Source organism: Homo sapiens, chromosome 15, assembly GCF_000001405.40.
Source record: "Homo sapiens chromosome 15, GRCh38.p14 Primary Assembly".
NCBI classification, from domain to species: domain Eukaryota; kingdom Metazoa; phylum Chordata; class Mammalia; order Primates; family Hominidae; genus Homo; species Homo sapiens.
The window spans coordinates 82,535,390-82,559,542 of record NC_000015.10 but is presented as its reverse complement, the minus strand read 5'-3'; the positions used below and the strand labels follow the sequence as shown (position 1 = coordinate 82,559,542).

The 24,153-nt window shown below is 47.1% G+C and overlaps 2 protein-coding genes across 38 annotated transcripts in view, besides 3 other annotated features; both read left to right on the top strand.

Annotated features, from left to right (window-relative positions):
* Positions 1 to 16,342, top strand: part of CPEB1 (cytoplasmic polyadenylation element binding protein 1) — a 105,595-nt gene extending 89,253 nt beyond the window's left edge. For 26 of the 35 annotated variants that reach the window (NM_001365245.1, NM_001365246.1, NM_001365240.1 and 23 more), the window contains 9 exons: positions 1,557 to 1,783; positions 3,421 to 3,673; positions 5,552 to 5,665; positions 5,987 to 6,076; positions 6,927 to 7,063; positions 9,885 to 10,083; positions 12,306 to 12,400; positions 13,022 to 13,102; positions 14,841 to 16,342. In NM_001365245.1, coding sequence (NP_001352174.1) covers positions 1,557 to 1,783; positions 3,421 to 3,673; positions 5,552 to 5,665; positions 5,987 to 6,076; positions 6,927 to 7,063; positions 9,885 to 10,083; positions 12,306 to 12,400; positions 13,022 to 13,102; positions 14,841 to 14,951 — 1,307 coding nt within the window. In that variant the 3' untranslated portion in view covers positions 14,952 to 16,342. Of the gene's footprint in view, positions 1 to 1,556; positions 1,784 to 3,420; positions 3,674 to 5,551; positions 5,666 to 5,986; positions 6,092 to 6,926; positions 7,064 to 9,884; positions 10,084 to 12,305; positions 12,401 to 13,021; positions 13,103 to 14,840 lie in introns of all 35 variants that reach the window. The other 9 variants (NM_001365243.1, NM_001387068.1, NM_001387061.1 and 6 more) reach the window with 3 other exon arrangements.
* Positions 18,229 to 18,730: an enhancer, noted in NCBI's record as "H3K4me1 hESC enhancer chr15:82825221-82825722 (GRCh37/hg19 assembly coordinates)". NCBI's record gives its function as "activates a minimal SCP1, AML or CMV promoter by ChIP-STARR-seq in primed H9 embryonic stem cells {active_cell/tissue: H9 hESC(primed)}" and the evidence as "EXISTENCE:reporter gene assay evidence [ECO:0000049][PMID:30033119]".
* Positions 18,850 to 18,949: a silencer, noted in NCBI's record as "silent region_6749". NCBI's record gives its function as "represses an Ori minimal core promoter by ATAC-STARR-seq in GM12878 lymphoblastoid cells {active_cell/tissue: GM12878}" and the evidence as "EXISTENCE:reporter gene assay evidence [ECO:0000049][PMID:35858748]".
* Positions 18,960 to 19,079: a silencer, noted in NCBI's record as "silent region_6748". NCBI's record gives its function as "represses an Ori minimal core promoter by ATAC-STARR-seq in GM12878 lymphoblastoid cells {active_cell/tissue: GM12878}" and the evidence as "EXISTENCE:reporter gene assay evidence [ECO:0000049][PMID:35858748]".
* On the top strand, positions 19,086 to 22,793 carry RPS17 (ribosomal protein S17). 3 transcript variants are annotated; one of them, NR_111944.3, is made up of 6 exons: positions 19,086 to 19,117; positions 19,411 to 19,562; positions 20,558 to 20,663; positions 21,172 to 21,237; positions 21,501 to 21,621; positions 22,662 to 22,793. NR_111944.3 is itself a non-coding variant. In NM_001021.6 (5 exons), exons 1-5 carry the CDS (start codon positions 19,115 to 19,117, stop codon positions 22,740 to 22,742), a joined length of 408 nt encoding a protein of 135 aa, NP_001012.1. In that variant the 5' UTR covers positions 19,086 to 19,114; the 3' UTR covers positions 22,743 to 22,793. The 3 variants fall into 3 exon arrangements, 1 of the variants encoding a protein (NP_001012.1); NM_001021.6 differs by lacking the exon at positions 21,501 to 21,621; NR_111943.2 differs by lacking the exon at positions 21,501 to 21,621 and having other exon boundaries at positions 19,086 to 19,562.

Below are 24,153 nucleotides of genomic sequence, written 5' to 3'. Positions count from 1 at the left end.
ACCAGGTGTTGGCCAGGTTGTAGAGGGACTGAAACTCTCATCACTGCCGGTGGGAATGTAAAATGGTATATAGTTCCATCTACTTGGAAAACAGTATTATGACAGTCTCTTTAAAAATTAAAGCTATTTTTACTACAAAATAATAACTAGATAAATAGATATATCTACAGTTTCCCCTGTGTTAAATGTTAAGGATACACCTACCATGTCTTATCCAAAAGGGGAGGTCATATACCTAAAGGAGCGTGGGCTGGTCTGGTCCCATATTAACAGATGTTTGGGATCTTGTGTATATGTTCCATCAATGGCATGTGTGTCTCGTACCCTGAAAGCATGCATTGATTTTGATTTCAGTCTTGAGAGGTTTATTCCTGCTTCTTGGGACTCCAGCTCCAGACAAGCATTCAAACTGACTTAGAGGCCTGGGAGGAAACCAGCTCTGGGTGACCTGTGTTTCATTTCATTGCTAGTCAGGGCGGAAGTGGGGCCAATCACAGCCAGTTATTCAGCACTTACACATATGATTTTGGTTTTACCTCAGCCATTTTGAGGTGAATGTTCTCATTCTTCAGATGAAAAAAAAAAAAAACTTCAAATTAAGGCTTCTTTCCTAGATTTAGCACACCCATAGCTCCATGGCAAAGCCCTCTTATTCCTTATTCTCATAGATAGAGGGTGTGCTTTGCTTAGGTTCCCCAAGGCCAAGTGTGGAAAACGTTGCTCTTTTTTTGTTTCATATTTAAATATTTATTGTGTGCTGGGTGCTACTGTGCTGAGCTCTTTCCATCTGGTATCTAATTATTGAGCTGTCCTAACAATGTCATGAAATAGTTGATACTCCACCCTAAATGCCAGTGAGAAAACAGAGGGTCAGAGAAGCTAAGTGAGCTTCCCAGAGCTCACAGACATATACAAGAGGTGTCAGACACAGGGTTTAATCCTAAGTTTAAGTCAAAGAATGGGCTTAACCATGTCATTCTGCTTCCATCCTAAACATTTCAAGTTCAGGGGTACATTGAAGAGAATCTGTATATGCTAGAAGTTTGCATAAGTGAACCTCTCACATGAGGTGGTATGCTTATGCTATACCAGATTTCTGGGGTGTGGCCTGAAATTCTATATTATAGCATTAGAAAGGTGAGAATTCTTCTAATAAACAAATCGTCAGGCAGTAAAGATGAAGTATGGTTTGGGATTTCTAACTGTGCTGTAGGTGTATCCAGGCATTAATAGCAGCTGTGACCAGGGACCCCAGTGACAGTTTCCCAAGTACTGGCATTGACCTTTTAAGCCTGGGTAGTATAACCCAGCAGTTTTGCTGCTATTGTAACAGCAGGAACTCTGGTCTTCAGTCAGCTTGTAACTTCCTCTAACAAGGCCCTTGCGGCCAGGTCTCAGAGCTGGATATATATCTGTTCATTATATTGTGTTTTGCTGGCATGCTTTTAGTTGTCTTGCCTTTGGTATCTCTTGTTGGGTGGCTGTAGGAGAAGAAAGAGGCTGTTGGCTGCAAAGAAAACTAAGAGGTCATGAGGTTTCCTTTTTTGTCCTCCTAGTACTGAGCATGCTCCATAACCCACTGGGAAATGTCCTAGGAAAACCCCCCTTGAGCTTCCTGCCTCTGGATCCCCTTGGGTCTGACTTGGTGGACAAGTTTCCAGCACCCTCAGTTAGAGGATCACGCCTGGACACCCGGCCCATCCTGGACTCTCGATCTAGCAGCCCCTCTGACTCAGACACCAGTGGCTTCAGCTCTGGATCAGATCATCTCTCAGATTTGATTGTATGTAACTCATTTGGGAAAGGGGAGTTGTGGGTGGAGTTGCCTGTGTGTGTCCAAGGGGAAGGAGGGTACAATATCTATGGGATGCCTGTCCCCTGGAATGCAGGCTGGGAGATGGGATGAGGGGAGGAGTGGAGATTATTGTGGACATTTGTAGAGTTCTCATCCTTAACAGGATAGAGGATGCTTTGAAGACCCATTGAGCAATACATTGCAGGACCTGAGCTCAGGACTCTCATTTTACTAGCTACTCCAAGAGTACTGGAAAACACTTAATTTCAAAAGTAAACGTGAGGGCCCTGGCAGTGTTCTGTTTCTTTACCTACACGGGGTGCTTTCTTTAGCCCTTAAACAGTGTCATTTATGTACTTTGATGTATGATATCTCACAATTAAGTAATAACGTAAAAAATTTTTAAGTAGTAATTAGCAGAGATAGGATTTTAATCCAGATCTGACTGTAGCTCCTGTATTTTTTCCACTGACCCGTGTCAGCTTTCAATTCATGCCATGATGAATCTATGAAACATTGCCTCAGTTAATTTTTGCATTTCACGTTCCTTATCTACAGCCATGTATGATGCGTGTGGTCTTCATGCTAAGTGGAGTTGGCAAATGAATTAGAATAGGTAGGGGATATTATAGATAGATTAGTACAGATAATATAGATAGGGGATAGTAGAAGTAAATACAGGTGGGATTGGCAGTGAGAAATTACCCCAAAATAAGAATACAGTTTCAGATGCCTTATAAGCATTTTTGTTGCCAAATCTCCCGAGCTGAATGTGCAGTGAATAGAATTACTTATTTTACCACCTTCTTCTCTTCCCCATACCCAGGACTGGCAACTTTGGTTGTGATCGCCTGTCAGCCTGTCCTAGAATATGGAAGTTGGCGATGGTGTTCTCACTGACCATTGGTTTTATCTGTTAAGGCTGCATTTCTAAAAGGGCAGTCACATGCGGGTCTCTTTGCTTCTCTGGGCTGCAGTTACCTCTTCTGTAAAATGGGGTCAGATACAGTGCTGGTAGTTCTGTCTATATTACTTAGATTGGACTCAGTCTTGGAAATTTATCTCATGACTGATTAATATTTGGGGATTTTAAAATATTCTGTCAACGAGTTATTTTGATAATGTATCATTTCACACACGTAAATTAGAATTTAAAGGTTTGACACAGCTTATGGTGTTCTGATACATTTATGATACAATGCAGAGCTCTCATAGATAGCATTTTTGGCATTCGGCTTTCTAGGAATCTGACCAAAGAAAACACAAAATATGAAGAAGCTACATCTTAATTTTTATTTATGGTTCTGAAAACTTGGAAAGTATATATATAACAGGAAGAGTATGGGTCAGTGAGATGTACCTTGTTCCCTAAATAGAATATGATAAATGCATTTTAAATGGTTATAAAGACTGGCAATATGGAAAAGTTGAATGAGGAGAGAAGGAGCATTTGTTTAAATTATAGTATAACTAGAACTAATCAAAATTGCTCAGGAAGAAAGTCTAAAAGAATATATATCAAATGCTAAATGTCTATTGGATGTTTTTAATAATTTCTATAATGTGATTATTACTTTATAACAAAACTAGCCTTTAAAACCCTGTCTTCCTTTTTCCTCCCCTAGTCAAGCCTTCGCATTTCTCCACCTCTGCCCTTCCTGTCTCTGTCAGGGGGTGGTCCCAGAGACCCTTTAAAGATGGGGGTAGGGTCTCGGATGGACCAAGAGCAAGCTGCTCTTGCTGCAGTCACTCCCTCCCCAACCAGTGCTTCAAAGAGATGGCCAGGAGCTTCTGTGTGGCCATCCTGGGACCTCCTCGAAGCTCCCAAAGACCCCTTCAGCATAGAGAGAGAGGCCAGGCTGCACCGACAAGCTGCAGGTGAGTGTGCCTTGAGCATGTGTGAGGCCTGAGGCCTCATTTTGGGAGCAGAGAGGAAGTGACCTTAGTTCACACACTTGTGAACTGTCTAGAGGAGGCTTGGTTGCATGGTGAAGTCTCCAGATCTGCAAAGAATTATCTTTCTGTGGAGTAAATACTAATGGGAACAGACTCAGGAACTTCTTGAGGCTGAGTGGAGAGGAAAGAGGCAGGTTATCTGGCACATGCATGTGCCACAGCACAAGGAGCTGGCTCCATCTCTCACTTGTGCCGTTCCGTGGAGACTGGCTGTGTGCTGCTCTTGCTTTTACTTTTTCCACGGGTGGATGTCCTCAAGAGAAACTCTGGAAGGGATATCCAGAATTTTGTCTACCCTCTCCACATTCTAATTCAAAGACCATCAGACACAACTCATGCTGGAGCTTTCTTCCCTGAGGCTTTCTGATTGGTATAGTCAGGGATGCACTGGGGAAGGAGGGGTCCATTTGTCAACCTCTAAAGTGAGGAGTGTCACCAGATGTCCTGGTCTCTTAGGAATCCTTAAGGTTCTGACATTTAAATTTAATCTTAGGCTGGCCTGGGTGGCTCAGCACTTAAGCAGAGGCAGCAGGATGGCTTGAGCCGAGGAGTTGCCCAGCCTGGGAAACATAGCAAGACCCCATCTCTATATATTTTAAAAGGTTTAAAAAATAAATTATCCTAAATATGTATTAAATGTGTTTTTCATCTTTGTCTAGTACTGCTTCAGGGAGATATTCATTAACCACTGGCTCTTCAGAGGTCCTGAATTTGATGACTAAGTTAGTGTTAGTTTCTGCATTCCATTTGTTTCCATAGGCTTCAGTGTGTCTGTTTGCTCACAGAGTTGGGCTGGATCTCATTCTCCTCTGATAGTGCTGTGCCCTGTTCACCTAATGATTTTGGCAACCCATCTTTGTACTTTCTCTGGTGCCATTGTTTTCCTGTGAAATGACATTACCATGCTTTTGGATGAGACCATTATATTCTGTTTTTGTCGTAAAAGATTGCTGACATTGCCCAGTTTCTTGCTGTAGCAACACGTTGGGCCTATTCCTTTTAGGAAATATCCTTCCACATCTTTGTCCTGAATGAAAATGATAGTTCCTTTCATTGGCTGTCTGCCTCTTTGCTGAAAGAGGAGGGTGAAATAAATGGGCAAGAACTAGCTAGTCCTCACTAAGGTCAGTCTCTGATTTGGAAAGGTACAAACAGTGGGGACAGGATTGAAGACTGATTCATTACGTTACCATGCTGGCATCAAGGAAGGCCCATTGTCTATTTGGGTGCTATAAAGATGAGTCTGGCTTGGAACAGTTGTGACATTCTTGTCTTACTGGGTTGCCAGTGCTGGTTTTTATTGGCAGTGTCCTAACTTCTGTGATTCATGAGTTCAGAGCCAAGACAAGGAAACAGAATAGAATGTTTCTCATTTGAACATTGGGGAGAAGGCCCATTTGTACCAGTAAGCCTGCAAGATGTTGTATTGCTATGTTTATTTTCAAGTAATTATGAATTAGTACTGTAAGCAATAACAGGATAAAACTGCTTTGTGGTTAGCATATTAGTTGAATGTTTGAAAATAACATGGGGTGTAAATTTTTACCCTACACATCTGGTTTGGTATTCCTTTCAATTTTAGTGGGGACAGAATTAGCAAAGTAGGATTATCATACTTGACTGAGTGGATTGGTGAGACATAGATTTCTTGCTTTTCAGAATAATCATGGATATTCTCTCAGGCATCTGGGCAAGGATTGTGGCCAGTCAGGTTCTTACTGGACAAGTTCACCCCAGGGAAGAGTGTGGCTTTGTTGATTCTCTAACCTCCCCTGTTTATCTCTTTGCCATCTACCAAAGCTGTGAATGAAGCCACCTGTACCTGGAGTGGCCAGCTTCCTCCCCGGAACTATAAGAACCCCATCTACTCTTGCAAGGTGTTTCTAGGAGGTGTTCCTTGGGATATTACAGAAGGTGAGCTGTCTCTAAGACCTGCTTTAAGAGTTGAAGGGTGGGGCATGTCTTTCAGGAGCATGAAACTTGGAATTGAGGCCAGGGGCTGAATGCCCTGCCTGAGCTCAGGGTATTACATGAGTGTCTGAGGGGAGAGGTGCATTTCATAGACCCCCATAGTGCTCCTTATGTCGGGAGCTTACACCGGAGATCAGCATTCGTTTCTGAGTTGTTTGTCAGTGGGGATGAGCCAGGGAGGAGAATGCTGGTGATTCTGTGTTTGTGTCTTTACTGGGAAAGATGGTTCCTCAGCTTCTGCCATTCTTTTCTGTCTCTTTGCAGCTGGATTAGTTAACACCTTCCGTGTTTTTGGCTCTTTGAGTGTGGAGTGGCCTGGTAAGGATGGCAAGCATCCCCGGTGTCCTCCCAAAGGTAATATGCCTAAAGGTAATAAAGACATGGTAGGAGCTTTTTTTTCCCTTCCCTAGTACATAACTGCACCTAGGGGTGCTGGGATGTCACAGCTGCATGTTGGTAACATGGTGGGCACTCCAGGGCACAGACCTGCCATCTGTCAGCACTTTCTCTTCAACCTAACATGTCCCTCTGTTTCTTCTGAGCTAATGTTCCATCTGTCCAGACTTACACAGCAGTGGGAGTTGCCTCTGAAACCCCTTCCTTGTACACTTCTCTCTAAACCTGAACCCAAGCAGCACCTTTCCTCTCAAAATAAGGCGTTTGAAAAGCTTTCCCTTGCCTGCCTGTCCTGCCCAGTTACGTTGTTGCCTGACCTAATTCTGAAGTCCCTTTGGAGTTGGCAGGAATGAGGACCAAGCATCTGATTCCTCACTGGTCTGAAATGAGATCCCTTCCCTGTAGAAAGGAGCAGGTGCTATTTTCACCCTGCCCCATCTTCATTGAACTGAACTAATGGTTTAAGTAGGTGTTTAAAGCAATACCTGCCATCTTTCCTGCCACCAGGAAAGCCTGGCTCTGCTGACCTGAACATGCTCTGTGTTCTTGCATAGAGAGCTGTGGTAATGGTGGGATCCTCTGTCTCAGCTTGCCAGTCCTTTCCTTCACCAGGGTGGGAGGGAGGCCCACAACCCAGGGCATCTGCATAGCAAATGCTTCCACTCAACACGACTTTTCAGGAGTAAAACAAAAATGTATCTTATACACAAGACCTTCTTTCTTGGAAGAAACGCCCTGCTGCAAAGCCAAGGCTGAGGAGTGGCCACCTAAGGGATATTAATGCGATTTTTCCTCTCATTGGGAATAGGGTATGTGTATCTGGTCTTCGAACTAGAGAAGTCTGTCCGATCCTTGCTTCAGGCTTGCTCTCATGACCCGCTGAGCCCAGATGGCCTGAGTGAATATTATTTCAAGATGTCCAGCCGAAGGATGCGCTGCAAGGAGGTGAGTTAGCGTGATGTCCTTTCTGGATCGAGGGTCTTGGAATATTGAGGCACTGGATTTTCTTGTGGTAGGTGGATAGGCAGGCTGCAGGCAAGGAGTATTCCTGCTGAGGCAAGAAGGCTCTTCTTGTCCCACAATAAAATAGCAGTATCCTCTCAATTACATTAAAAAAAAAAAAAAGCAACCTTTGGGACTTAATGGGGTGTGTGCATGCACACATGCGCATGCCTGCCCATGGTAATCAAACTGTCTGCCCGTCTTTATTCTGCTCTTCTTTCTTGTAGCCAACACTTTGGTTTCAAACCTCTTGTCTTAGAAATGAAATTGAGAACAGCAAACTTCTCTACTTGGACTTAACTGATAAACCTACAGCTGTTTTTCCCTGGTCCTGCCCTTCCTGTGCCTTGTGACCTCCCAGTCTGTGGGGGTGAATTCCTCTTTAGCCCACACCCACCTGTGGGTCACTTCTTCATTCTTATTCAGGGCTTTATTTAGTTTTGTGGGTTTTCCCCATAAGATTCTCTCTTCCTACGCTTTTTCTAATATCAGCCTTATGTATCCTTGGCAGCATGGGTCTCTAACGAGTTTATCTCACCTGGGGATCTCATTGCACATTCTTGGGCCTTATCCCAGACTTACTGAATCACTCTGGGTGGAATTTAGGAATCTCCAACTGAATAAAGATCCCCAGGTGGTTCTAGTGGGTAGTGTTTGAGAACCACTTGTCAAAGCAAGTTTTGAGCTCAGGAATCAGTGCGGTGGTAAAATCGGATTTGAGAGCACACAACTTTTGTGACATTGGACTAGATATTTAATATCTCTGAAACTTTGTTTCCTCTTCTCTTCTATAAGATGGGAAACTAAAATGCCTATTTTAGTAAAAAAGATCAGTGGTTGCCAGGGGTTTAGCAGGAAGGGATGAAGAGACATAGCACAGAGGATTTTTAGGGCAGTGAAACTATTCTGTATATGGTGGATACATGTCATTATACTTTGGTCCAAACCCATAGAAGGTAAAAGAAACACCAGGAGTGAACTCTGATGCAAACCATGGACTTTCGGTGGGGATGATGGGTCAGTATAAAAAAATGTTCCACTCTCATGCGGGATCCTGATAGTGGGGAAGTCACGCAAGTGTGGGGGCAGAGAGTATTTGGAGAATCCCTGTACTTTCTGCTCAGATTTACTGTAAACCTTAAAGCTTCTCTAAAAAAATCTATAGGGTAAGAGGAGAAATGCCTATTTTATTGGGATGGTCACATTAGATTTAAAATAAATCCATGTAACAAAGCTGGCTCTTGTTCTGTGTTAGAGAGAGGGCAGGCTCATCCTCTGGCTGCCCACAGTGACCCACAGCTTCCCTACCTTCTCTGCTTCTTTATTCTCTGGAGCTTGTGTAGTCTTCCCACCTTAGTATGTTCTAGGACTTAATTAACATGCTCCTTTTTCCTCCCCTCCTGCTTTCACAACCAGAGATGGCCATATGCATATCACAGAGCCCTTCCCCTTCCTCCTCAGTGCCCCTGTAGACACCATCCTGTCTCCCATTCCCTCCCATCACCTTACAGGGATTTAATCTTTCTTTGATTCACTGGCTATAGGCTGATGCAGTTCTCCTTCCTCTCTACTTTTCTTTTTCCTTTGTGTTCCTCTCCCCGCCAGCACCAACATAGCCAATATAGCCAATCTTTGACTCCCTTCTTCTTTTCTAGTTCAGATAAATGACTCACTTTGTGGCTTCTCTCACCTTTAGACCCAGATTCACCTTTCTAGCCTCATGTCCTACCTGAGCCTCACCTTCCTGTGGGATCCTTCTTCGGGATGTCCTGTAATCCCAAACTCTTTTGTGGGCAAAATTGGCTTTTTCATCTTCCAGTGAAATTGGCTCCCCTCTTGTAACTTCTGCCAGGTCCTCTCATCCCAAGACCGTGTAGGCCCAGCACCTACCAGGCCTGATTCTTCCTTGCTTGCCCATCCTGCTTATGCTGTCTGAGTACTGCAGACTCTTCTGTTGAAGAATCTCTTTGGTCTTGGCCTGTTCTCTGCTCGTTGCCACCAGCCTTGTCCAAGTCTTAATCACCTGTCCTTTGAAACTACTGTTTTTGCCTCCTTGCTGGTTTCTGCCTCAGATCTCTTCCTGCTTCAAGACATATTTTTAGATCTTCACTTCATTCTGGACTCCTCCACCTGCTCTACAAGGTTTTGTTCCAGGTTCAGGAGATTCAGAGGCAAAGGACATGGTCAGCCCCAGCCCTTTAAGACTCCAGGGATCTTGTATGTGACTTTCTACCCAACCTCTCGCCAGTCATTTCCACTGCTCTGGCACAAACCCTCTGAAGGCTAGGTTGGGCCAGTAACCATCTCATACAAATATCGTAAGCACTCCCACCCCTCTGTCCTTCAGGATCCTAGCCTTTAATTTCTCTGTGAGTCCTTCCTTTCTTGAGGACTTCAGATTATGCCCTTTTCATCAGTGTCCACAGCCCTTTGTTGGAACTACACAGTTGGAGGTTGAAATAGAATGCTGGGCTCCTGGGTTTGGCCATGTGGTACTTTTTTGCTTACTCTCCAGCATGAGTGAGTACTGTGTCCACTTCTACCATTCTGGACACATGGACTCAGTAAAATTCAACTCCAGTTGGGGTGGAGTCAGGGTGGTTTATTGGACGCCTGTGTGCCTGAGATTGGGCAACAGCACCTTTTCACCCCTGTAAGGGCGTTAGCTTAGCTTCAGTATCTCCAGAGCACGTACCTTGCCGTGCAAGCACCTCTCTCTCTGTGGCTCTCTGCCAGGGCTGATACACCTTTGGGTGGTTTTCAGGTGCAGGTGATCCCCTGGGTATTAGCCGACAGTAACTTTGTCCGGAGCCCATCTCAGAGGCTTGACCCCAGCAGGACGGTGTTTGTCGGTGCTCTGCATGGAATGCTAAATGCTGAGGCCCTGGCAGCCATCTTGAACGACCTATTTGGTGGAGTGGTGTATGCCGGGATTGACACAGATAAGCACAAGTATCCCATTGGTAAGTGTCCCACTTCTGTGTGCGAAAGCTTGGTTGGCCCCTGGGAGTAGACCAAGATTGTGATACTTCCCCATGGGAGTGAGGAGAGAGGCCTGACCCAGGTCTGCAGATCAGCATATACCAGCACCATAATATCTTTTTCTAGACAAGTCACGAGTACTGGCCCTTCTGTATCTAGCCCTCTACCCACCATCTCCCACGCAGTGGGAGAAAAAGCTATTGGAGACTACAGGAGGTGATAAGAAGTGAGAGTGAGGTAGGAACTTTGTTGGAAGCTCAGAGTTCACAGCGAAACCAGTTTGGAACAGACAACAGGTACTATTTCATGAAAAGGCTGCAATTCTCTGAACTTGCCTGGAGTTTTTTATTAAAAGTTCTTGAAAAGCTCTGGCATTGTCTAAGGTCAGAGACCAGGTCAGGCTGGAGGAGGACTTTCTGAGTGAGTCAGGCAACAGAGTGTGGCCTGTGCTTTCCTAACTCAGAAGTCTGTGGGCCTAACCACTAGGTTTTGATCAGCTCCTCTGAGAAAGGAGGTCAATTCGCCAGTCCTGGCAAAATGTCAATGATGAGGTATGGAGGTGGAGCAGAGCCTGACCTCTGTGATTAACATGTGGCTAACCCACCTCCCCAAATGCTTAGTCTTCACACCCACACTGAATCTGGTCAGGAAGGAGCACCATGTACTCACCAATACTGTGCAGCAGATTGAGAACAGGGACTTCAGAAGCCCCAGGAGCGGAGGAGGAACTTGGCAGGATGGGGCTTCTTCCAGCTCTCTTAATAGGTCTCCAGAGTGCCTAAGGGCTAGGAGAGGTTCAGTTCAACTGCTGGGCTTACCCTTCAGACAAGTGTTCTATCTGCATCTTGGCTTCCACTCTGAATCCTTTAACCTTAACCTATGCTCTACCTGCACTGAAGGAGTCCCTTATCTTTCCTTCCCATCTTGATCTGCAAATTCTTCCCCCATTCCTGAATGGTTCACGCTAACATGATCTCCACTGTCAAATATGGTACGAATATGGTAGCTACCAGCTAAATGTGGCCCCATTGAGTTTTGGAAACACAGCTGTTGTCACATTTGGAAATAATATTATTAACATATAGGGTTAAATAAAATTTTTTTTTTGAGATGGAGTCTCACTCTGTTGCCGTGCTGGAGTGCAGTGGTGCTATCTCAGCTCACTGCAACCTCTGCCTCCTGGGTTCAAGTGATTCTCCTGCCTCAGCCTCCTGAGTAGCTGGGACTACAGGTGTGCGCCACCACGCTCAGCTAATTTTTGTATTTTTAGTAGAGACGGGGTTTCACCATGTTAGCCAGGATGGTCTCCATCTCTTGACCTCATGATCCGCCCACCTTGGCCTCCCAAAGCACTGGGTTTACAGGTGTGAGCCACCGTGCCCGGCCAATAAAATATATTATTAAAATTAATGTCACCACTGTTTTAAAATTTCAGTGTGACTACTAGAAAATTTAAAGTTACATAAGGGCTGACCATGATGGCTTATACCTATAATCCTGGCACTTTGGGAGGCCGAGGTGGGGCAGATCGTTTGAGTCCAGGAGTTCAAGACCAGCCTGGACAATATGGTGAAACCCTGTCTCTACAAAAAAATACAAAAATTAGCCAGGCATGGTGGCTCATGCTTGTAGTCCCAGCTACTTGGGAGGCTGAGGCAGGAGATTGTTTGAGCCTGGGATGCAGAGGTTGCAGTGAGCTGAGATCACGCCATTACACTCCAGCCTGAGTGACAGAGGGAGACCCTGTCTCAAAAAATAAATAAAGTTACATAGTAGCTCACATTATATTTCTGTCGGACAGCACTAGTATCGTAAAGGGTTTCCTGCATTTTAAAAGAGTAGCATTAGGGCAGGCTCGGTGGCTCACGCCTGTAATCCCAGCACTTTGGGAGGCTGAGGCGGGCGGGTCACAAGGTCAGGAGATCAAGACCATGCTGGCTAATGGTGAAACCCGATCTCTACTAAAAATACAAAAAATTAGCTGGGTGTGGTGGCAGATGCCTGTAGTCCCAGCTACTCGGGAGGCTGAGGCAGGAGAATGGCGTGAAACCGGGAGGCAGAGCTTGCAGTGAGCAGAGATTGCGCCACTGCACACCAGCCTGGGCGAAAGAGCGAGACTCCATCTCAAAAAAAAAAAAAAAAAAAAAAAAAGTAGCATTTGGGAGAATTTGGTTAGAAGGGAAGCTTGTGTCTGTTGTCCTAGGTTCTGGTCGTGTGACTTTCAATAACCAACGGAGTTACCTGAAAGCAGTCAGCGCTGCTTTTGTGGAGATCAAAACCACCAAGTTCACAAAGAAGGTGAGTTGGCTGGTTTATGCCCTTACTCTGGGGTATATGAGAGGGGTTTGGGCAGTTACTACCCAGGGCAGGCCTGAGACCTGAAGCTGTTTGTGCTGGGTGTGTTTAGGGAAGTGAGCCAAATTCCTGAGAATTAACATTGAGGTTAGGGTTTGGGAGTGGGCTTGGTCTTTGTACGCCCAGGAGGAAGGGAACTGGGACTGTTGAGCCTCTTCAGTGTGTAGGGTGCCTTCCCTCACTGTGGTATTTCTTTGGCATTGCTCAGTAGCCTGACTTCCTATTTTCCAACCTTTTGGGAATCCTCCGAACACTTGCCTATACTGCTAATTGATAGAGGGCTGAGGTACAGTTTGCCTAGAAGACCAGGCATTAAGGTGTGTGGTTGCCTGAATCCCAGAGGCATCCAGCCTGACTGTGCATGGTGTATGAGTCTGTCCTCTAGAACTCCTTTCTGTACTTCAGGCCCATAATTCTCTCCAAGCCTCCTTTAAAACAGGCAAATATCCTGCATTCCAATATCCCGCATTCCTGTGTGTGGCCAATAATGTGCCCTTCTTCTATCGCCTATCGAGCCTCCTGGTAAGAAGAGCCACTTCATCATCTTATTTTGCCTTTGTGCAGGTTCAGATTGACCCCTACCTAGAAGATTCTCTGTGTCATATCTGCAGTTCTCAGCCTGGTCCTTTCTTCTGTCGAGATCAGGTGGGTCCGATGTCTATGAAGTCCCTGCCCTCTATTAAAAATTGTTGGCTGGGCGCGGTGGTTCACACCTGTAATCCCAGCACTTTGGGATGCCAAGGTGGGCGGATCAGGAGGACCAGCCTGGCCAACATGGTGAAACCCCGTCTCTATTAAAAATACAACAATTAGCCTGGCGTGGTGGCAGGCGCCTGTAATCCCAGCTACTTGGGAGGCTGAGGCAGGCGAATAGCTTGAACCCAGGAGGCGGAGGTTGCAGTGAGTCGAGATCACGCCACTGCACTTCAGCCTGGGACAGAGCGAGACTCCGTGTCAAAAAAAAAAAATTGTTATGCCAAGTTCATGACATTGAATGTTGGAGTTCTGAGGTACCCTGTGGTGTCTGAGAGCATAGAGGAGGCAGCAGTAATGTTTGCTGAAGGTCAGACCGGGACAGACATACTTTAGATAGCTTGATCCAGAACTCTTAAGAAAATATGTTGAATTGAGTCTTTATACTTTGGTCTTTTTCTTGCCTGGGATATTGCTATGCAGTATGCCACTATTGCTGAGAGGTGGTTTTGTAGATGATGGAAGCCTGGCTGGGTGTGGTCAGCAGCACGTGGGAGCCAGGCTCAGCTGCCTAACCCTGAAGCCTTCTAAGCTGATTTTTCTGTAAAGGAGGATGCCTCGTCCTCCTTTACATCTGAACTTCTGGACGACTTTGATATTTGCATCTGGGCTGTACCCACAGGTGTCAGCGACAGGCAGAAAGCAGCGAGGTGGCTTTCTATTGAATGTTCCTGGGTGATGGAATGTGGATCTGGATGTGTTTGGCAGTGCTTCTCAAACCTTAATTACAGACACATCACCTGAGGATCTTAGATTCTGATTCAGTGGGTTTGGGGCGGACCCTGAGATTCCATGTGTCCAACAAGTATCCAAGTGGTGTCAATGCTGCTAGTCAGTATCATCCTTTGACAGGTGTTAGGGGAAGTTTGGGACCTCTTAGGACACCAGCAGCAGTCCTTCCATGCTTAGTGGGTGCTTTTTAAATTTTGTTTAAAAATTTGTTGCAGTGATGCCATTGATCAGATTTGGAGTCTCTGAATATGGTTAAACTGAGGCTCTCAAGTGAGAGTTTGAAGTTAAGTTTGAATTGTTAGTTAAAGCCTGAGACCAAGTATCTCTCTGATCAGCCTCATCTACGAGGCTTTTATGGATCTGGATCTTTCACAGATAATCTCCATAGTCAGATAATTGCTCAGAGATTAGTGGCTTGCCTGACGTTACACAGCAACCAAGAGATGGGACTAGACTGAGAAACCCAGTCACCTCTCCTCACTTAATGGGAAGAAAGCAGGATGTTGCCTAGCATTAGAATTTTTAGTCAGTATCCTTATACATTCTCCACGTTAGCAGCCATGTGATACAACTACTCTGTAGGAGGTGAGAAGGGCAGGGGAATAGGAGAGCAGCTGTCATGGTTAGAGGGGATAAGAGAAACTAGCATGGTCTCTGCACACACTACGAGCCCAACATGTTTAAGTAAGGGGACCTGTAACAAGGATGGTGGGTTTGCCATAGTTAATCAGGCTTCTGTGTTGGGGTGAGAGCATTCCTAGGGACCATTTCTTCTAACCCACAGAGGCCATCGGGAGTCTCCCACCCTTCTCCAAACAGAACAAGCAGCTCGTGCAACAGCTCCTGTGTCTGGTGCTGACACAGGCATGGCATCCTCCTTTTTGTTCCCCCAACCCAGGTCTGCTTCAAATACTTCTGCCGGAGCTGCTGGCACTGGCGGCACAGCATGGAGGGCCTGCGCCACCACAGCCCCCTGATGCGGAACCAGAAGAACCGAGATTCCAGCTAGAGGAGCTGGCCTTGCCCAGTGGCCTGTGGCGCCCAAAGCTGGCAGGTCAGGCAAGCAGCCTGCACCACCCTGCCACTGGCGACCAGGGAGCTGGCTTCCCAAGGACAAGGGAAAATTGTAGTCACCTTTGCACTTGCTGAATCTGTCTTTGTTTCTGCACTAATTAATGCACATTGAGTTTTGTCAGGTTTTGTTTTCAGGGGGTGTACCAAGGGCAAGGACCCTCTGGCTTACCCTCCAAGCGACTCTGTAGTTTTCCCAGATTTTAGTTCCTCATTTTGCAGATGAAAAGCGGGGAAAAAAAAAAAAAAAAAAAAAACTACGTGTCCAGAAGGTATTGAGGTATTGACACGGATGCCTACACCTAGGTTTATTTATTAAAAGCGCTTTTTTACATTCCTTGCAATACTGATGGTGATGATGCGCAGGTCTCATTGGTTTCATTCTTGCAGTTGCCATACAGTGCCTTTCCATTTATTTAACCCCCACCTGAACGGCATAAACTGAGTGTTCAGCTGGTGTTTTTTACTGTAAACAATAAGGAGACTTTGCTCTTCATTTAAACCAAAATCATATTTCATATTTTACGCTCGAGGGTTTTTACCGGTTCCTTTTTACACTCCTTAAAACAGTTTTTAAGTCGTTTGGAACAAGATATTTTTTCTTTCCTGGCAGCTTTTAACATTATAGCAAATTTGTGTCTGGGGGACTGCTGGTCACTGTTTCTCACAGTTGCAAATCAAGGCATTTGCAACCAAGAAAAAAAAAATTTTTTGTTTTATTTGAAACTGGACCGGATAAACGGTGTTTGAGCGGCTGCTGTATATAGTTTTAAATGGTTTATTGCACCTCCTTAAGTTGCACTTATGTGGGGGGGTGGGGTTGATAGAAGTTTTTAATCACAAAGTCACAGGACTTTTTTCTTTTGTAACTGAGCTAAAAAGGGCTGCTTTTCGGTGGGGGCAGATGAAGGCTCACAGGAGCCCTTTCTCTTAGAGGGGGCAAGTACCCTTCCCTTATATCTTTAATTTGAGGAATGTATGAGATAACAGTTGCAGTTGACTGAAATGCCACTGGAATTTGAAAACTTGACTTTTTTTTCTTTCCTTTTTTTTTTTTTTTTTTTTTTTAAAAAGAAACAAAAAACCCACAAAAACTACTTGCCCCTCCTAGGGAAGCTGTGTGCCAAAGAACCAGTGTCATAACCCCTCCCTCCTGCTGAGCTGACGTTGCATTGTTGCATATCCCAGCTACTCTGTGGGTTTTGTGAAGCTGTGTGTGAAGTCTCTACCTCATTGTAGTATATGCAGGCAAGACTGCACTCTCCTACAGATGTGTGGAGTAAGCTGTGGTGTAGTTTTTTTGGCACATAATAAACACGTTGCAGCAGAGTTCTGGTTTTGTCTCTGTGTTTGAGGTCTGGGAGCAAGGGGCTAACGGGAGGGAGTAAGGGGGTAATGGCACAGCCACAGCTTGTTTCCTTGGATTTCTGTGATGGAGATCCTGGCCCAGGATAATGGTGGGACCATGTGGGAGACCTGCCCTGTGAGTACTTCTTGGTCCCTTCCATCGTCAAATATACTTTGGAGATGCTTCTCCAGTGGATGGGTGCTTCTAGCCCAAATATAAAAAGTCCTCATATCTTAGCTTCTCGGGGGTCCTCACAGCCTCCAGGCCCAGCTTAGAGAATGCTGGAGGCACAGCTGCTCACGTGCCAGCAGAAGCCACTTGTTCTCAGCTTCTCCTGGAAGTCTTGGCCTATTACTTCTTCGGAGGCTGCTCATCCTCTTGGACCCACCTATGATGATGCAGTTCCTTTCTGAGAGGGAGTGATTGGGTTTTTGCTGTTCAGAGAGCCCTATCAACGGAACTTTCTCAGAGCTCACAGGATTTCTGGCAAGGTCTGCTGATTTTTTTTTTTTTTTTTCAGTCGAGTTGGCCTGGGCCCAGCTGTTGGACCGATTCTTTGGGAACCTCCAATTTAGTCTGAGGTGGAGGGAACCCTGCATACTGAAGCTGTCTCTTCTGAGAGAGGTGCAAGAACTATTGGGCAAGGTGGGGGAGTCTCCTCACAAAAGGAGAGGCCTGGCCGGGCGCGGTGGCTCACGCCTGTAATCCCAGCACATTGGGAGGCCAAGGTGGGCGGATCACGAGGTCAGGATTTTGAGACCAGCCTGGCCAACATAGTGAAACCCCTTCTCTACTGAAAATACAAAAAATTAGCCAGGTGGTAGTTGCAGGCACCTCTAATCCCAGCTACCCAAGAGGCTCAGGCAGGAGAATCTCTTGAACCCGGGAGGTGGAGGTTGCGGTGAGCCAAGACCATGCCACTGCACTCCAGCCTGGGCAACAGAGTGAGACTGTCTCTAAATAAATAAATAAATAAAGGAGAGGCCAGACTGGGCACAGTGGCTCACGCTTACAATCAGCACTGTGGGAGGCTGAGGCAAGAGGATTGCTTGAGCCCCAGGGGTTTGAGACCAGCCTGAGCAACATGGGAGACCCCATTTCTACCAAAAAAAAAAAAAGGCATGGTGGTGTGTGCCTGTGGTTCCAGCTACTAGGGAGACTGAGGCAGCAGGATCATGTGAGCCCAGGAAATCGAGGCTGCAGTGAGCTGTTACCATGTCACTTCACTGAAGCCTGGACAACTGAGCAAGACTCTATCTCAAAAAAAAAAGGCTGGCCGGGTGCAATGGCTCACTCCTGTAATCCCAGCACTTTGGGAGGACAAGGCGGGTGGATCACCTGAGGTCAGAAGTTGGAGACCAGCCTGGCCAAAATGGCAAAACCCCATCTCTACTAAAAAAAAATATATATAAAAATTAGCAGGGCGTGGTGGCGCACGCCTGTAATCCCAGCTACTTGGGAGGCTGAGGCAGGAGAATCGCTTGAACTTGGGAGGCAGAGGTTGCAGTGAGCCGAGATCGCGCCACTGCACTCCAGCCTGGGCGACAGCAAGACTCCGTCTCAAAAACAAAAACAAAAACAAAAACCCTGATCTTTCACTTCGGGCCTGACAGCAGCTTGACTGGAAGTTTGCTCCCGCAGTTCTGAGATTCTGGCCTTTTCTTTTGTCCCATTGGTACTTTTTGCTGCCAGGGTTTCCTGTCCTTCAGGTTTCCATCCCCAATCAGTTGAGAGTCCGACTGGAGTACCCAAGGTGCGTTGAGGAATGAGGCACAGCCCTGGGCTTAACTCATCCAGCCTGGCCAGCTCAGCCTTCCCCTGTCAGGTGGGAGCCTAGGATTGCTGTCAGCCCAGGGAGCAGAGTTGGAAGAAGGGGGCAGGGCCCTACCTAGGCTGCGGCCCATCGGGGCAGCCTGCGCTGGTGGCTTCGGAAGGCCCTGGTTTGAGGATGGGTGCGGCAGGAACAGCCTGAAGATAGTGGATGGAGAAGGTACCTGAGGTGTTGGGAGCTCTGCTGGTGAGCTGGGCCCTTCACGTCAATGTTAGAGGTTGTTACGTGCTAGGCGCTGTTCAAGCACTGGGAATTAGCTAAACAAAATGACCATTACTGTCATGGAGCTCACCCCTAGTTGAGAAAAATAAGCCGAATCACACGGCAAGTGCTAGGAAATATAAGCAGGGATAGTGAGGGAGTTATTTTACCTAAGTTTGAAGGGAAAGCCCTCTGATAAGGCGACATTTGAGCAAAGGCCCGGAAGAAATGAGATACGTCTCGCCCAGTCGCACCCTGTCTCTACCTGACAAGTCTCCGGCCCGCGGACTGAGTGGGGGACCTGGGCGGCCGCCATCCCCCACTTCCTCATTGTTCCACGGCCCTGGATCGCCTTCTTTTCTCGGTCCTCCCGAGGACCGGATGCTTCTCCTCTCCCTGGCGTGTGTGGAAGAGATGGACGCTACGCTAGAGCACATCGCACGGGCGGTCCCATTAAAAATCAGATGGGGGAGAGAAGCGAGCCCAAGTCAACCGAGGGGAGCGGGGAGCGGAAAGGGAGGAGCCGTCGGGGGCGGGACAGACACCCTGCCCACCGGAGGGGCGCGCCACCGCCGCCCCCGCTCCACTCCGCCAGGGGGCGCTGTGTGGCTCCCGAGTAGGCTCAGAGCGACCGTGGCCGGGCGGAAGCGGCTTTCTGGCCTAAGCTTTAACAGGCTTCGCCTGTGCTTCCTGTTTCCTCTTTTACCAAGGACCCGCCAACATGGTAGGTGTTTTGGCTCGAGGCCGCCATCCTCCACAATCGTCCCCCATCTGCAGCTTCCCGCGGTCCTCAGCCCACAGAGAGGCCCTGGGCCGGGAAGGCGCAGAGCCCTGTCAGGCTGGAGCGCAACGGGCCGGCGGCTTCCGCATTAAGCCCGGCGCCCGGCACTGTTTAGCCGGGCCCTCTCCGGCTCAGCGCAGCCGGCGGTCCCCAACCACACCGGCCGGGGCTCGGCGCCGCACTCTTCCCAGAAGGTTGCGCTGGCTCGTGAGTGATCCTGTCCTCTCCACCCGCAGGGCCGCGTTCGCACCAAAACCGTGAAGAAGGCGGCCCGGGTCATCATAGAAAAGTACTACACGCGCCTGGGCAACGACTTCCACACGAACAAGCGCGTGTGCGAGGAGATCGCCATTATCCCCAGCAAAAAGCTCCGCAACAAGATAGCAGGGTGAGTCGGGCCTTCCTCGGCCTCCGGGGCTCCGCGATCTGTTTGTGTGCTCTGCCGCCCTCCGACTCGGGAAGAGACGGTGCCTTGGTGGTTTCGTTAGCCTGAGACTCCCTGGTGTCCCGGAGAAGGGCTAGAGCTCTGCGTGTGCAGGATTTCTGTTGTGAACTTAGGCCTGTGTCATGACTGGCCGCGGTGACCCTGGGTCGAAGGTAGCCACCGTCAGACCTCTTGCTTTGAAGCTACGTTGCTTTTAGTTGTCAACTTTTTTCTTTCTTTTTTTTCTTTTTTTTTTGAGACGGAATCTTGCCCTGGCGCCCAGGCTAGAGTGCAGTGGCGCCATCTCGGCTCACTGCAACCTCCGTCTCCCGGGTTCAAGCGATTGTCATGCCTCAGCCTTCCCAGTAGCTGGGATTAGAGGCACGTGCTACCACACTCGGCTAATTTTTGTATTTTTAGTAGACAACAGGGTTTCACAATGTTGACCAGGCTGGTCTCGAACACCTGACCTCAAGCGATCCGCCCGCCTCGGCCTCCCAAATTGCTGGGATTACAGGCGTGAGCCACCTCGCCCGGCTGGATGTCAACTTCTAATGCTTACTTCACAGTTGCAGTTACTGTTCGAGAGATTTATAGGCATATGGCCTGGAAGAATAGTGCCAAAGTCAACGTATTAATTGCCAAGTTATGTGAATTTGAAATTGGAAGAAAATGAAGGCTGTGAAGGGTCGTGAAACTGCGGGGCGGGGCGGGGCGAGTTGGGGGTGGGGCGCTTGATCATCATGAAGGAGAGTTTGAATAGAGAGTGAGAAACCAAGGGGAAGGAATGCTCAGGCCAGTGGAGGTTCTATGTGTAGGAGGTCCCAGGATAGTGAGTCCTCTTCCTTCTCACTGTGGAAAAGAACTAAAGCGGGTATTTATATATGCACATGTGCTCAGTACCAGGTGGGAGTTGATTTGTCTTCTCACTGTTCTCTTTGGCTGTGTGTGCTTTGTAGTTATGTCACGCATCTGATGAAGCGAATTCAGAGAGGCCCAGTAAGAGGTATCTCCATCAAGCTGCAGGAGGAGGAGAGAGAAAGGAGAGACAATTATGTTCCTGAGGTAAACTTTCTGGATATTTGGGCTTCTGGCTAATCCTCAAATGATAAAGCTATGGGTTCTTGGCTTCCAAAGGGACCTCAGCTGAATCTGAGACCTTTAATCCATACATTCCATAACCAGCTGTGGGTGCCCATAGGCCCCCTACCAGTTTCTTAGCCTCCATTCTGCTCTTCTGGAACCAGTTAAGTCTATTCCATATTTCATGAGAGCCCTTAATGTTGATTTGATGACTGCTGTCGTGGCTCGATTGTTTGCCCCTAATATAGTATTCTTTGGTGTAAACACAGACTTCAAGTGTTCTGAATACTGAATGAGGGCATGGGAAGGTAAGGCCAGAAGAACAGGTCATCGGGGTCTGTAATACTGTAAGAGACTGCTCACCTTGTGAGAGGAATGCTATCCTTGTGCAGCTCCTCTTCCCCATATTTAAGAACCTGGGGAGAGGAGGAGGAGAGGTGAGTGATAATCTCATTGATTGGTATTTTGACCCTACCTCGTTTCCTTGTAGGTCTCAGCCTTGGATCAGGAGATTATTGAAGTAGATCCTGACACTAAGGAAATGCTGAAGCTTTTGGTAAGTGTTTGCTGGATTCCTAAAGTGGTATTTTCCTGGTCAAAAACCATCAGTAGGTCTTATTATCCAAGGTCACCCAGCTAGTAAGTGGCAGAGTTGGGAATCCCATCTAAACTTGTAGCCACTAAACTGGACTGCTTTCATAAGGGGTGTAGCGGAAGTTGTGTGCATTGAGTTAGTTCGCCACAAGATCATGATTCCCAAATCTAGTGGCTTCCAGGACACCTTTTCTCTCTTGGCTGCTTCTGTTCTTGGTTTTATAGCTGGCTTACGTTGCCCCCTTTGTGTCAGCCCTGGCTGAATCTGCCTGCTTTTCTTCTGTGAAGGCATTCCTTTGGTGTCTCCATGCTAACCACTCAGAAATGAGCTTTGGTCCATTTCCAGGTACATACAAGGCACTACTTAGGTAGTTCACGAGTATCTTCATTGCACTTTGATGTTTTTTCTATGGCTTATCTTAGTCCTTTTGCATACTTGGGTGAAAGCATGGGCTTCATGGGCGGTTGGTGATTTTGAACAACTTCATTTTTCCTATTTTTATGGTCATTAAATGTTTAAGACACTCAAAAAGGTAGTAGCAAAATGAACTCACATGTACTTTCCCAGCTTCAGAAAAACATCACCAGTACAGCTACAGCCCCGCTGTGGGTCTTTTCTTCCTGAAATAACCACTGCGCTGAATGCAGCATTTTTGTTGAAACTAAAATGGGTTTCTGAGGACCAAATAGGACATGGAGTTCCAGGTATAAGTTGGGCCCTTGGCTTCTTGCCCTGCCTACCAGCCTGAACTTGTTTGAGGGCAGGGTCTGCTCTTGCCTCCCTCCCTTCTGCTTGATGCCTTGTGTACTTGGGCCCTTCACAAATGTTGATTAGATTAGTAATAGCTCTTACCCAGGGCTGGTCCTGGAAAGCAAGTGGCACTGTGTATTCTCAAAGGGACAGAGTTTTGCTTTAGAGGACATTTGGCAATGTCCAGACACATTTTTCGTTCTCATAGCCAGGGGATACCTGCTAACTTCTAAGGGGTAGAGGCCAAGGATGTTGCTAAACTTTCTGCAATACACAGTACAGCTGCCTATAACAAAGAATGTCCAGCCCAGGATGTCTACGTTGCCAAGATTGAGAAACGGTGTTTTAGAGTGATTGATAGGAAGGGGTTGTGAAAACAGATACAAATGGCATGGTACATTGGGTAAAAGTCATAGAGTTGTAAATGGGGATACCACATGGTCAGGTGTGTGTTGAAGGAAGATCACTCTGGAAAAGTGGGAGGCATTGAGAACCCTGTTGGCTCTTAAAGGGTCCTTCAGGTCGCCTCTGGACCCCCTTGAGAGTGCTGTGGCTCTAGGGGCCTGTGTTTTCTTCTGGGGTCCACTCACAGATCTCACCAGTAACTGCTCACTGAATCCATTTTCTCGTTCCAGGACTTCGGCAGTCTGTCCAACCTTCAGGTCACTCAGCCTACAGTTGGGATGAATTTCAAAACGCCTCGGGGACCTGTTTGAATTTTTTCTGTAGTGCTGTATTATTTTCAATAAATCTGGGACAACAGCCTTGCCTGTGTCATCTTTGCAGTTGTGTGTGGGTAGAGGAAAGGCAGGAGCTCTCGAGGCAACAGATCAGCTGGCACTTGTCTGGGATTCAGGTGCTGCTGCATCTGGTTTATGGGGAGTGGGTTCACCAGAGTTTAGTAAAGGAGCAAGGGCAAGCCTGAACGTGTTGAGAGTGGTCTGCAGTATGAGCCTGGAAAGCTGCTTTGGCAGCTCCACCCTGCTTCCCTGGGTCTTCAGCCCCTGCTGGGTACATACAATTTGGGCCAACTTGCCCATGTTCAGAAGGTAGCAACAGGATTATCGTGTATCAGAGGTTGACTTTCTTTCAGTGGGAGTTAGGATGAATGGTGTCTTTGTGTCCAATGTTGAGCCCAATGCCTAGAACATAGGAGATCTCAACAAATGTGAATAAATGTGTATGGGAGGATTGATACTGGGATGCTTCAGCCTAACCGGAGGCAGAGCTCACCAGCTGCAACCTGGGTAGACTACCCTGGACTCTGAGCTTTATTTAGGCTCTCTGTCGCTGTCAGTTAACCACGTGTGTGTGTGTCTCACAGGAGCTGGGCTGCACTTGGTTGGTTCATGCCCTTGCATATGAGGAAAGCTGTGGGCTCTTTTTCTCCAGTGGGACAAGGAGCTGTTGCAGAGCCAAGCTTAGCTGGCTGCATGTCCAGGAGAACAGGCAGGCATGGTGGCTCACACCTGTAATCCCAGTACTTCAGGAGACTGAGGTGGGAGGGATTGCTTGAGCCTGAGGGTTGGAGACCAGCCTGGGCAATACCAAGACCTCCTCTCTACTAAAAAGGTAGAAAATAAGCTGGGCATGGTGATGTGCATGTGTAGTCCAGCTACACATGCTTAGGCGGTCAGAGGGCTGCCTAAGCCTTGGAGGTGGAGGTTGCGATGAGCCGAGATCATGCCACTGCACTACAATCTAGGCGACGAAGTGTGACCCTGTCTCCAAAAAAAAAGCAGCCAGCAAGTGGGAAAGCTCTAGCCTTAAAGTGATTCTTACATATCTATTTCTGTCAAGCAGATAAATACAGCAGACATTTTTAATGTGTTTTGTAACTTAATTTTTGTATAATTTCAAACTTACAGAGAAGTTGCAAGAATAGTACAAAGAACACCCAGGTTTACCAGTTCACATTTTGCCTCAATGGCTTTATTTTTTTGCGGGGGGGGAGATGAAGTCTCACTCTGTCACCCAGGCTGGAGTGCAGTGGCACAATCTTGGCTCACTGCAACCTCCATCTCCCAAGTTCAAGTGATTGTCCTGCCTCAGCCTCCTGAGTAGCTGGGATTACAGACGCTCACCGCCACACAAAGCTAATTTTTTTTTTCTTTTTTGAGACAGAGT

Excerpts from the sequence above, each read along its gene's own strand:
- RPS17 (NM_001021.6), top strand. Across the intron at positions 19,563-20,557 it reads CTCCGCAACAAGATAGCAGG|TTATGTCACGCATCTGATGA; the intron begins GTGAGTCGGGCC and ends TGTGCTTTGTAG. Across the intron at positions 21,238-22,661 it reads AGGAAATGCTGAAGCTTTTG|GACTTCGGCAGTCTGTCCAA; the intron begins GTAAGTGTTTGC and ends TTCTCGTTCCAG.